The 13,572-nt window shown below is 44.7% G+C and overlaps 1 long non-coding RNA gene across 2 annotated transcripts in view, besides 2 other annotated features; it reads right to left on the bottom strand.

The window, feature by feature from the left end:
- LOC107987083 (uncharacterized) overlaps nt 1–4,298 on the bottom strand; it is a 122,361-nt gene extending 118,063 nt beyond the window's left edge. For both annotated transcript variants that reach the window (XR_001746759.2, XR_001746760.2), the window contains exon 1: nt 3,251–4,298. This is a non-coding gene — a long non-coding RNA (uncharacterized LOC107987083). The remainder of the gene's footprint in view (nt 1–3,250) is intronic.
- Nucleotides 4,236–4,285: an enhancer, noted in NCBI's record as "active region_28488". NCBI's record gives its function as "activates an Ori minimal core promoter by ATAC-STARR-seq in GM12878 lymphoblastoid cells {active_cell/tissue: GM12878}" and the evidence as "EXISTENCE:reporter gene assay evidence [ECO:0000049][PMID:35858748]".
- Nucleotides 11,131–11,630: an enhancer, noted in NCBI's record as "H3K27ac hESC enhancer chr9:80965189-80965688 (GRCh37/hg19 assembly coordinates)". NCBI's record gives its function as "activates a minimal SCP1, AML or CMV promoter by ChIP-STARR-seq in primed H9 embryonic stem cells {active_cell/tissue: H9 hESC(primed)}" and the evidence as "EXISTENCE:reporter gene assay evidence [ECO:0000049][PMID:30033119]".

Genomic DNA, 13,572 nt, shown 5'->3' with positions numbered 1-13,572 from the left:
TTCTTTTTTTCTTTTTTTTTTGCTCTGTCTCCCAGGCTGGAGTGCAATGGCGTGATCTTGGCTTACTACAAGCTCCGCCTCCCGGGTTCATGCCATTCTCCTGCCTCAGCCTCCCAAGTAGCTGGGACTACAGGCGCCCGCCACCACGACTGGCTAATTTTTTTTTTTTTTTTTTTTTTTTTTTTTTTTTTTTTTTTTTAGCAGAGACAGGGTTTCACCGTATTAACCATGATGCTCTCGATCTCCTGAGCTCGTGATCCGCCTGCCTCGGCCTCCCAAAGTGCTGGGATTACAGGCGTGAGCCACTGCGCCTGGCCTCAGTTTTCTCTTACAGCAGAGATTTTTAATGACCGGGAGGCTATCATAAACAGAGGTTATTGTCCAAAATAGAAGCCACATCATAATCAGCCCTCACCGTTGAGACTGGTTCGCTTGCATCTGTTGATTTTCGGAGGGGCTTTTCCCAGCTCACAATTGCATTGTTCCTGCCACTCAGGGTCTGCTGTTCAATTAACAAATGCCTTCAGCAAAGTAATTTATAGGCTTTTGCCAAAGACCCTTGAGGATGCTGTAATGTGTATTGATTTGAGCCCATCATGCAGTGGCTCCCGGACGAGGCCTGAGCGCTGGACCCTAATCGTTTGCACACTTTGCACAAGAATATTTTGTGGGTATAAACAGGATCATTTCATACTTCCAGGATTCAGTGTAAATAGAGCTGCTGCTTGGTAGCTATGAAGAGTGGTTAAGAGCAAAAGTAATACTTTCCAAGTTACTTTAGTTCATTTTTAAATAAATAAAGGGCTTTATTGGTATTAGCATTAGTTCTTGAAATAACCTTCAAAGAAAACAAACAGGTATTAAAATGTCCATTTTACAGCTAGAAAATTGTGAATTCAGTGTTCCTTCTAGTAGACTCTTTGAGGAATAGAGTTATCAGTAAACTAGAGACTAGTGCTTGCTGCTACAGTAAACTATTATATCCCAGGACTTGTTCTAGAGTTACAGATTTTCTCTGCTCCTTCTCTGACGGCTGGCTTTACCTCCTGTCACCTGCCACTCCCTCCCCACCCCTCCAAGTTGCATCTTAAGTGCAGTAGGCACTGTGGCCATAATTTCTAAACCTAATTTGGGAGCCTGTTGTATGAAAATGACATGCTCTTAGGTGGACCACCAGACAAAAATGTTTAAAATCATGATTGTCCACAAAAATCTAAGATACATGATCACTGTCAGAGTGTGGCTCTAACCTGCCCCTCAATAGCTAGAAAAGGAAAGTGAAGGAAGGGAAACACCTACTGTTTATTGACATGGGAACATAAATAAGGTAGATGCAAAACTGGGCCTGAGCTCTTACCTTGAATCTGATGGAGAAGGAGAAGGGCTTTATGCCTGAGATTGTGGTTCTCATTTCACCTGGTATCACAGTTAAACACAGCCTATGTTAGGTTCTTTTTTTTTTTTTTTTTTTTTTTGAGACAGAGTCTCGCTCTGCCATCCAGGCTCGAATGCAATGGTGCAATCTCGGCTCACCGCAACCTCTGCCTCCCGGGTTCAAGCTATTCTCCTGCCTCAGCCTCCCAAGTAGCTGAGATTATAGGCAGACACCACCACGCCTGGCTAATTTTTGTATTTTTTTTATAGAGAGGGGGTTTTGCCATGTTGGCCAGGCTGGTCTCGAACTCCCAACCTCAAGTGATCCACCTGCCTTGGCCTTCCAAAGTGCTGGGATTACAGGCATGAGCCACCACGTCCAGCCTATGTTAGATTATTTCCCAGTGTTATAAACTGAATTGTGTCCCCCCCAAAATTCATCTGTTGAAGCCCTAACTCCCAGCACCTCAGAGTGTGACTGTATTGGTGATGGTGCCTTTAAAGAGGTAATTAAGTGAAAATAAGGCCAAAAGGGTGGGATCTAATCCAATCCAACTAGTGTCCTTATAAAGAAGAGGAGACACCAGGGATGTGTGAGCACAGAGAAAAAGGCATGTGGGGACACAGTGAGAAGGTGGCATCTGCAAGCCAAGGAGAGAGGACCCAGGAGAAACCAAACCTGCCAAAACTTTGATCTTGGACTTCCAGCCTCTGGAACTGTGAAAAAATTAATTTCTAATTGTAATTAATTTTTCGATGCCCATATAGACATCATTTTCTTTTAGACAGGCTCTCCCTGTTATTTAGGTTGGTATCAGGAATGGAGCAGGGATTGGAACTCAGGTCTCTCTGGCTTGAGATAGGAATCTACAGTTTTCTAACTCTTGAGCCCACGTACCCATCTGTTACCTGCCAGACACCGCATCTGACCCATTCTCATCTCCAGCAATCATTCTTAAACTCCATCAAGCATCAGAACAGCCTACACTGCTTCTTAAAACACGATCGCAGACCCTTCCCCAGTCTCAGACTTTTAGATTCAATGGATCAGGGATGTGGCCTGAGAATGTGCATTTCTAATAAGACTCTCGGTAAGTCTCCTGCTGCAGCTCCATGCTGGACCATGCTTTGAGAACCACAAACACCAGGCACTGCCTTACTCATAGAAGTACGAAGATAGAATTATTTATTTGTCTCTTGCCCTCCCCCGACTCTAAGCTCTTACAGATCAGGCTTGTATTGTTCAACATTTTCCTGCTGTATGGTCCAGGGACTAGAGTGGGCTTCTCCAACCAGCAGCCCATGGGCCACATGTGGTCCAAGATAGCTTTGAATGTAGCCCAACACAAATTTGTAAACTTTCTCTTTTTTTCTGAGACAGAGTTTCACTCTTGTCATCCAGGCTGGAGTATAATGGCATGATCTCGACTCACTGCAACCTCCACCTCCTGGATTCAAGCCTCCCAAGTAGCTGGGACTACAGGCATGTGCCACCACGCCTGGCTATTTCTGTATTTTTTGTAGAGATGGGGTTTCTTCAAAGAGGTAATTAAGTTAAAACAAGCCCACTAGGGTGGGCCCTAATCCAGTTTGACTGGTGTCCTTCTAAGAAGAGGAAATTTGGAAACACCAAGAGACACCAGACACAGGCACACACAGAGGGACAACGATGTCCACACAGTGAGAAGGTGGCATCTGCAAGCCAAGAAGGGGGGCCTCAGAAGAAAGCAAACCTGCTAGCACCTTAATCTTGGACTTCCAGACCCAGACCATGAGAAAATAAATTTCTGTTGTTTAAGCTCTCTGGTTGCTGGGCTCTGCCATATTTTGTTATGGCAGTCACAGCTAACTGAAAACATTGTTATGGGATCCTTACCGTGTCGCTTTGCCAGCTGGTAACCTCTGTGGCCAGTGGTGCCTTTGCCCTAGTTTTGCTCTGACCTGCTGGGCTTGTTCCGCCCACTCAGCCTGGCAGGCGCACTCAGCTCACGCTACTGGCCTGGATCCCATGCCTGCCAAAGGTGAGCCGAACGCAAAGTGGCGAGGGGTGTGTGAGCATGCTTGGGGTCTGGGCCACTGTGCACAGCCAGGCATACCGGCTGCAGCAGGGCGGGCAGCTCCAGGCACTGGCACAAGCGCCAGCTCCCTGCGAAGCTGCGGCCGGACCAGGCGTACCACAAGCAGTTCCCAGCTGACACCAGGGAACATGGTGGCACCCAGAAGCTTGAAGACTCCAGGAACCGCAGAGCCTTAAAGAGAGTGTCACATCCCTGGCTCAAGAAGCTCCTGGGTCTGGGCTCCTCGAAAAGCCGCAGCTCTTCTCTCGTTCTCTCTTCTCTCCTTGTCACCCTCAATGTGGTGAACAAGGGGTGTATTTCAGCCTTGTTTGTGTTACAGCTCTTGCATCCCTGCCTTTCGGCGGGTCCCAAGTTCTTGTCCTGCATCCAGGAAGAATGAGGTATTCTCCTCAGAAAGACAAGTGAGGATGAGCAAGACGAAGAGGAGCTTTATTGAATGATAGAGCAGCTCAGAGGAGACCTGCAGTGGGTAGTTCTTCTCTGTAGCCAGGGTGTCCAGACAAGTATTCAGCTCTCAGCAGAGACGGTAGCTCCTCTCTGCAGGCAGGTCATCCCGTCATCTCTTCAGCACTCAACAGAGAGAAGACCCTGGGGTAGATACCTTCCCTCCGCAGCTGGTTGGCCCAACGTCTCTTCTGGTCTGACTGCGTCTGGGGCTTTTCATGGGCCTCAGAGGGGAGGAAGTGTGTGCTGATTGGTCCATGGGAGGCCATGGGCGTGCCTGGGGAAAGCACCACAAGTTCCCGCGGGACCAGCAGCCAGGCCTCCAGGCTTCAGGCACTCCCCAGCCTAAAGGTGGGACTTCCCTGGGGACCCGCCCCGTTCCACTCAGGAGCCATTTGCCTCCCGCCACCGTTCATGGCGCCCAGGCTGTTCGTGCCAAGGGGGGCCTACAGGCCCACACCAAACTGCCCTCAGCCCTTGCTAGGCCTTCCTCCCATGCTAGTTGGTGCCCAAAGTCTGCCCATGGAGGGGGCCAAGATGGCAGGGGGCTGGCGTGTCAGCGCTGCCCCAATACTGTGCACACCCGGTCAGGCTGCAACAGTGCCCAGTCTTGGGCCCAGCCTTGCTCTGAGATTGGAGCAGGCAGCAGGAGTGGGGAGGGGCCAGGCACGGGGAGCAGACAACTCCGAGCCTGTTGGGGGAAACGGGGGCCCTTTCCAGACCTTCGAGAGTGCAGAGATGCCTGGGTCCACAGCCGCGACTTGGGTGGCTGCAGCTGCACCTGGGAGGGTGGGGCTCCTGCCTGCTCCTGGCTCCTACGGGCTCGGTGGAGTGCAGCACTGTTCTGGGCCCAGCTCCACCTCGGGGCCCCTCTCTGCCCACCCCTCCACGCTCGACCACGCTGCTCCCACAGCCACTCTTGCCGTCACTGCCTGTGCCTCCCTGCTGCAGCCAACGTGATGGTAGTGGCCGCTTTGGATGGCTTGCCACTGCCATCAAGAGTACCCAAAATATGAATGTGAAAGGAAGCCTAGATTAGCTAACACCTATGTGGTGTTTACTACATGCCAAAAGCTGCTCCGGATACATCACATGTATTAACTCAATCCTCACCAAAACCCTATGACATGGGCACTATTGTAATCAACCCCATTTTACAGATGAGAAAACTGAGGCACAGAGAGGTTCAGTGAACGGGCCATGCATCTGGCAAGTGGAAAAGCTGGGATTGAAACCCAGTCACCAGCTGGAGAATTCTCTGTTGTGTCTCAAAATTACTGCCCCATCCCCCAATTGATCATCCACAAAACCTTCCAAAACGGGTCTTGGAGGCAATGTGGAAGGCAAATCTGAGGATACTCTGTCCCGCTCTTCAGAGTCAAGGAATCACAAGTTGGGAAGGTTTGGAAAGACAAGGAAAGCCGGTTCATCTCAGAGGCCACAGGATGAAAAGAAGAGACACCTGAGCCTGATGAACTGAGGTCCCCAGGACAGGAAGGCTTTTCCCAGGATGGCTGCCACCCTGATCCTCCGCCCTGCCAGGGACATGGGCCTGCTGTCAGGTGGCCTTATGTTCCTCTGAGCGTGTTGGCCCCTGCAGGCACCTAGGGTGCGCCATGGGCTGCTAGGGCATAATGTCAGAAATGGTTCACATCCTCTCCAGCAGTCATTTATCCAGGACAAGCAGAGAAGAGATGTCAGACTGAGACACAGAGAACCTTGCCTTTATCCTCTGGACCAGAGCTTCTCCACCTCAGCACTAGTGTCATTGTGCGCTGGGTAATTCTTTGTCGTGGGAGGTTGCCATGAACACTGTAGGATGCTTCATAGCATCCTCAGCCTCTACCAACTAGATGCAAGAAGCACATTGCCTACTTGTGACACCAAAAATGTCTCTAGACATGGCCAAATATCCCCTAGGGGACAAAATAACTCCTGTTGAGAAACACTCTTCTACAGTATAAGAGAAACAGAAGAAAAAATACTACTTTAAGACATTTATTTCCATCCGTCAGAAAGTTATAAGATGTGTAAACATTCCTTGTTGTTTTCTTGAGACAGGATCTTGTTCTGTCACCCAGGCTGGAGTGCAGTGGCATGATCTCCACTCACTGCAACCTCTGCATCCCAGGTTCAAGCGATCCTCCCACCTCAGCCTCCAGAGTAGTTGGGACCACAGGCACACACCACCATGCCCGGCTAATTTTTGTATTTTTTGAAGAGACAGGTTTTCTTCATGTTGCCCAGGCTGGTCTCAAACTCCTGAGCTCAAGCAATCCACCTGCCTTGGCCTCCCAAAGTGCTGGGATTACAGGCATGAACCACCACACCTGGCAAGATACGTAAACATTCTATATCTATGGTATAAATTGGGCTGTCTTAGAGGCACCCCCCGCCGCCCCCGGCCCTTGCACAGTGCACAACCTGCCCAGTTGTACGCGGCAGTCCTCCCCTTCTCTCTCTCCTCAAGCCTGAAAGGAGAATGAGGCTAATCTGCCCTGCCTTTGATCATTTCTTTCTGCTTCACAAATTTCTAAGATGCTAAAGGAAACCCAAGAGCTGACAATACCATCAAAATTCAAGCCTCCTTGGGGTTTGGTTTGGGATTGACCTTTCTCCACTCTGGGGTGAAGATTCAGAAAATAAATCCCATACTGATCCTTCTGATTTTCTAGTCCAGCCACAAATGTGTGACAGGCATGAGATGCTAATAACATTTTTTTCTCCCTCATTGCTGAAGCAATAGATAAAACAATTTTATAGCTGTGTTCTGCTATCCCTAAAGCAGGCAGTATTAATTAGGAAATAAAGCAGTGACAGGGTGTGCGTTAATGGGCTATTAATGCCTGCCATGGGTGCCCCACACGGCCTGAAGCCAAAGGCCGAGTGATTTCCACCACCCAGTAAGTGCTCTAATAGCCAATTAAAGCCTATCCTGAATTGGCTCCTTTCTCTTGGTCAGGAATTTTTTCAACTTAAAAAGTCATGAAGTTTCCAAGTAAGCATAGATTTAGTTTTAATGCAAGTTCCTTCTCTCTTCCTGCAATAAAAGGGAAATCCACCCACAGAGGATAAGGGAGAGAAATCAAAGGGAAGCCTAGGGTGACAGGGACTGACATACCTGCCCTTGTAGTAATTCTTAGACCCTGTTTGCTGGAGGCAAGAGGTCCCTAGTGTGGGGTTATTTACTCTAGCCATTCCCTTCCTGTTTGTGCAAGCTTCAGGAAGAAAGGAGACTGACATTTTTGTAGGAGCTTTTGTTTTAGAGTATATTTAGTCCTGTTTACACTGTATCTTCTAACAATACCTGTCTCCTAATAAAAATAAGAGCTGAGATGACATACACTGCATGCTTACTTTGTTCTGGTGCTGCTACAGGCATGTATCTATTATCTCATTTAATTCCAATAATCCAGCCTCCTGGGGGAAGGTCTATTATTATGCCCATGCTGCTGATGGAGAGAGAGGCACAGAGAGGTTAAATAACTTACCCAAGATCACACAGCTAGCAACTGGGAGAATCAGTTTTTAAACCCAGATCATCTACCTCTAATTCTAGCAGCCTGGAGCTGGAGTCAAGGCCTACAGAGCTCTTCTGCTTACCTTGACTTTGTGGTACAGGCCAATGCTCATGAAGCAAATGGATTATAGTATTCACATTGCAGACATTTTCTACTCCTGGGGTCAGAATGCAAAATCAACACACAAAAATCAGTTGCATTTCTATACACTAACAATGAACAATCTGAAAAAGGAAATTAAGAAAATAAAGCCATCTATAATTACATCAAAAAGAACAAAATACCTAGGATTAACCAAGGAGACAAAACACTTGTATTCTAAAAACTACAAAACAAAGCTGAGTGAAATTAAAGAAGACACAAATAAGTGGAAAACATCCCATGTTCACGGATTGAAAGACTTAATATTGTTAAAATATCCATATTACCCAAAGCAACCTGTAGATCTAACACAACTCCTAAGAAAACCTCAATGGCATTTTTTTTTTGGCAGAAATAGGGGGAATATTTTTAAAATTCATATGAAATCCCAAAGAACCCTGAATAACCAAAACAATCTTGAGAAAGAAAAACAACCTAGAGGCCAGACATTTCATGATTTCAAAACATATTACAAATCTATGGTAATCAAAATAGTATGGTACTGGAATAAGGACAAACACATAGACCAATGGAACAGAATAAAGAATCCAAAAATAAGCCCTCACATATATGGTCAAATGATCTTCCACAATGGTGCCAAACTACAAAACACAGAAAGGATAGTCTCTTCAACAAATGGTGTTGTAAAAATGGAATATTCCCATGCAAAAGAATGAAATTGGACCCTTATATTATACCATATGCAAAAATTAACTGAAAATTAAAGTCCTGGCCAGGAGCAGTGCCTCACGCCTGTAATCCCAGCACTTTGGGAGGTCGAGGCGGGCAGATCACAAGGTCAGGAGTTCGAGACCAGCCTGGCAAATATGGTGAAACCGTGTCTCTACTAAAAATACAAAAATTAGCCAGGCATGGTGGCGGGTTCCTGTAATCCCAGCTGCTCAGGTGGATGAGGCAGGAGAATCGCTTGAACCCTGGGAGGCAGAGGTTGTAGTGAGCTGAGATTGTGCCACTGCCCTCCAGCCTGGGCGACAGAGTGAGATTCCGTCTCAAAAAAAAAAAATTAAAGTCCTAAGTATAAGATGTGAAACTATAAAACTTCTAGAAGAAAACATAGGGGAAAGGATTCATGACATTGGATTTGGTTTGGCATAATTTTTTGTATACAACACCAAAAGCACAGGCAACAAAAACAAAATAGATAAATGTGATTACATAAACTTTAACATTTCTGCCCATCAAAATAAACAGCAAAAAGGCAGTACAAAATGGTAAGAAATATTTGCAGACCATATAATATGGTAAATAACTGAATTAATATCCAGATTATTTAAACTATAACTGAGCAACAACAACAAAAATAACCTGGCTGGGTGTGGTGGTTCACGCCTGTAATCTCAACACTTTGGGAGGCCGAGGCAGGTGGATCACCTGAGGTCAGGAGTTCGAGACTAGCCTGGCCAACATGGTGAAACCCCATCTCTACTGAAAATAGAAAACTTAGGTGGGCATGTGGTGGCACATGCCTGTAATCCCAGCTACTCGGGAGGCTGAGGCAGGAGAATTGCTTGAACCTGGGAGGTGGAGGTTGCAGTGAGCTAAGATCATGCCACTGCACTCCAGCCTGAGCAACAAGAATGAAACTCTGTCTCAAAAATAAAAATTAAAAAAAAAAAACAATTTAACAATGAACAAACAACTTACATAGATATTTTTCCAAATAAAATATACAAATGAACAGCAAGCATATGAAAAAATGCTAAATATCCCTAACAATCCAGGAAATGCAAAGGTAAACCACAATGAGATATAACTTTACACCAATTAGTAAAACCACTACAAAAAAAAAAAAAGAAACAGAAAACAACAGGTGTTGGAGAGGATGCACAAAAACTGGAACCCTTGTGAACTATTAGTGGGAATGTAAAATGGTGCAATTGATATAGAAAACAGTATGAACATTCCTAGGAAAATTAAAAATAGAATTACTATATGATCCAAAAATCCCACTTCTGGAATATATCCAAAACAGTTAAAAACAGGGTTTTGAAGAGACATGGTACACCCATGTTCACAGCAGCATTATTCATAATAGCCAAGATGTGGAAGCAACCCAAATATTATTGATGGATGAATGGATAAACAAAATGGGGTCTATACATACAATGGAATATTATTTTGCCTTTAAAAGGAAGAAAATTCTATCACATGCAACAACATGGATGAATCTTGAGGACATTTTGCTAAGTGAAATAAGCAGATCATAAAAAAACAAATACTGCATATGAAGTACCTAACACAGTCAAACTCTTAGAAACAGGAAGTAAGGTGGTGGTTGTCAGGGGTTGGGAGGGAAGGAAGAAGGATGGTGGTTGTTCAATGGGCGTAGAGTTTCAGTTTAGCAAGATGAAAAAGTTCTAGAGATCTGTAGTACAGCACTGTGTGTATAGTTAACCCTACCATTCTAGACACTTAAAAATAGTTACGATGGTAAAGTTTGTTATGTGTTTTTTACCACAATAAAAAAACTGACATTAAAAAAGAGCACAAGGCAAAGGTGAGAAATGAATTCATATTGTGGAGTCTCTGAATTTGGAGACTTAAAGAAAAAGGAATCTGTTTTTCTGGGTTGCTTAAAACACAGTACCACCAGGTGTAGTAGGGAGTGAACAGAGGGCATCTCAAGGTCCCTTCTGGACTTAGGATTTAATGCCCATTTATTGAGAACCTCTTGGTGCGTTTGCTCAGTACTATATCAAGATGGAGTTGTTCCATGTGCCCTAAAAGCTTATGATCTAAAAAGGCCAGAGAAACGGCAGAGACATAAAAAATGCCAGAACAATGCAACAACCTTAATCAGACTGTCTTTGCTTTTCTTTGCTTCTAAGTCCCTGGCTTTAAATTTAATATTGTGTCATGTCTCTATTTTTCTTGAGTTTTCTTAAAAGATCATATAAAGATTTTCTTCCATGCTAAGGCTTTTATATTGTATTTTTCTTAAAATGGAGTGTGGTACATTTACCCTTCATCCAAGGATTGCTTATAACTCACCTTGCTTTATTAAGAATGCTGCTAGAGGCTTCTATGCCCCTAGTAATAAAAATGTATTTTCGGGCCCATTCAAACCAATGAACTTCTGAGTTTTCAGAGCACAAGATAATGAAAATTCTCTAGATCGGTGTCTTTTAGTACTTTTAATCTCTTAACAGATCCTGAGTGTCTCAGATGAAAGGGACTCTAGCGTGAATCGCTATCATTAATAGCATTCCATCCAGGTAATGCTTGATTATTCCAATTTCTCACAAATTTGGACACTTTTACTGTCTCTATAACATCTCTAGGGGGTGAGAAAGAAAAGGGACCAGTGCAATTTATTTCTCAAAATATACACAGAAATATAATTGCACATACATACAGGAAAGCATTATAAATAATGGATGAGTAGCAAGGGAATGCCAATAATAGAACTACTCATGTAGCAAGACAACACTCATCACTAAATGTCCCCTCACCAAAATGGATTGAGAATTCTTAGGGGCCACCAAGCCAGAGATGGAGATTTATAGAAATCTGGGATGTTTGAAAAGTGAGAGGTTGTGTAACCTCCTTGAATAAGATAGCAGTTATCTTCCAAAATTGCAAAAATGGTTCCAACTAGTCTCCTCCTTATATCCTCCCCCTTAGCAATGTGACTTTACAGCTTCTCCCATCAAGAGGTGGAGTCTGTTTCCCCATCCTGTGAATCTGGGTTGACTCTGACTTGCTTTGGCCAATAGAATGCAACAGAAATGGCCAGGTGCAGTGGCTTACACCTGTAGTCCCAGCATTTTGGGAGGCTGAGGCGGGCAGCTGGCTTGAGCCCAAGAGGTCAAGACCAGCCTGGGCAGCATGACAAAACCCCATATCTAGAAAAAATACAACAACAACAAAAAAATAGCAGGGCATGGTGGCACGCACCTATAGTCCCAGCTACTTGGGATGCTGAGGTGGAAGGATCGTTTGAGCCGGGGAGGTCGAGGCTACAGTGAGCTGAGATCACACCATTTCACTCTAGCCTGGGTGACAGCGAGATCCTGTCTCAAAAAAGAAAGAAAAAAAAAAAGAATGTAGCAGAAATGATGGTGGGCCACTTGGGAGCCTAGGCCTTTGGAAGACTTGCATCTGCTACTCTCCCACCTGGAGCCCTGCTGCAGCCACAAGCACAAGCCCCTGCGACCTGCTGGATGATGAGAGACATGTGGCTCATCAGCCCCATGAGCTGCGCTGACAGCCAACCCCTAGCTTACCCCACAGATGCAGAAGCAATTCCAGCCAGGATCAGCTAGGTTTTGGGAAAGAATTAAGAATTCACTCTTGTGGCCGGGCGCGGTGGCTCACGCCTGTAATCCCAGCACTTTGGGAGGCTGAGGCAGGCGGATCATGAGGTCAGGAGATCAAGACCATCCTGACTAACACGGTGAAACTCTGTCTCTACTAAAAATACAAAAAATTAGCCCAGCGTGGTGGCGGGCACCTGTAGTCCCAGCTACCCGGGAGGCGGAGGTTGCAGTGAGCCAAGATCGCGCCACTGCACTCCAGCCTGGGTGACAGAGTGAGACTCTGTCTCAAAAACAAACAAACAAACAAAAAGAATTCACTCTTGTATGTGAATATGCTGTATGAGCTCCTCTGCAAACAGACTATTTTTCAAAAGCATTTTTGTTATTGTGAATCCCTGTATGAACATATCAAAAATAGCACTTCAATGATTATTAGAGAGTAATGGTAAATTGAAATTGAGGGTAAAATATAATGATCTAACCAAACTCAAAAAATTTTTCTATATTTATATAAATATATACTTTTATATATTTATAGTAATTATGTATATTATATAAATATATATAAATTTTCTTCAGACAATCATCTGAAGAAAAACAGACTTGGATGAAAAAAGAGTCCAAAGAATAAGAGCAGTGAAGAAACAAGCTAATTTAACACCAACTGGTGCCTCTAGAATATAATGGGAAGTATATGTTTAGTTCTTTGTATAATTTTGATCACACATGCATTATATGAGTTGTACATATTTGGAAGAAAACACAGCATTAAGATCATCAATAAAGAAGGATGCCAGAAAGGTAGCCTAGGGCAGGAAGTCACTCCCCATGTTAAACTGATTGACAGGGCAACCCAAGGAAGTGGATATGAAGTTTAACTAGGGCTTGGCAGTAGGAAGAATCAGGGGACTATCCCTGGGCTGGTACTGACCTTCCTAAGAAATGAAAGGACAGAAAGCTGACTGGAATCAAAACAGAGAACCGCAAAGGGCAAGGTTGGGTGTGTAACATGTGGATCCCAGCATATGTGTCTCTACACCTCTGAGGCTCTGTGTGGCTGTTAATTTTTCCATCCTCCATGATGCCCATCAGTATAAATGACTCAGGGTTGGCTCACTTGGGTGTCCTCATCACTTCCACCTATCCATGGAGTTGACAGCCACTTGCTCAAAGTCCATCTCCCTGGGCTTACAGCCACCAGGGAGGGATGAGACCACCACAAGTCAGGGAGAAAAAAAGGTTGTCACCAACAACCAGATGAGAAGGAGGAAGACACGTTCCGTGGAGCAGCTGGGTGGACTGATGACATGGGGTTGAGTTCTGAAGGCCCAGAGGAGGTGGACGTAGGAAAAGAACAAGAGAAGGGCGATCATGAGGATACAGACAAGCCCCATAATATGGATATTTAATTTATATATCTTATATAAACTCAATTAAATTTGTTCTGAATTAAAAAGAGAGAAAATGATCATTGAAACCATGTCCATGATTTCACTCACCAATCTGCTCAATGAGTTCAGAGCATAGAGTCAGAGGGAAATGGGGAGTGTCAATCTGCTGTTCTCTCAAGAAGTCCCGGTCCTCGGGAGCCTCTCATTCCAGAAGCATCTTGCTTTTTGCATTTTTCAAGTGAAGGTTGACAGAATATGCATCCCAAAATATACCACACTGGTATAAGAATTATTTTGAGCAAAAGGTACTTTAAAAATAGCAGATGCAAGAAGAACATCCTAA

Source organism: Homo sapiens, chromosome 9, assembly GCF_000001405.40.
Source record: "Homo sapiens chromosome 9, GRCh38.p14 Primary Assembly".
In the NCBI taxonomy this organism is placed as follows: Eukaryota; Metazoa; Chordata; class Mammalia; order Primates; family Hominidae; genus Homo; species Homo sapiens.
Note: the sequence above shows the minus strand (reverse complement) of the source record. Positions and strands in the feature narration are given on the sequence as shown.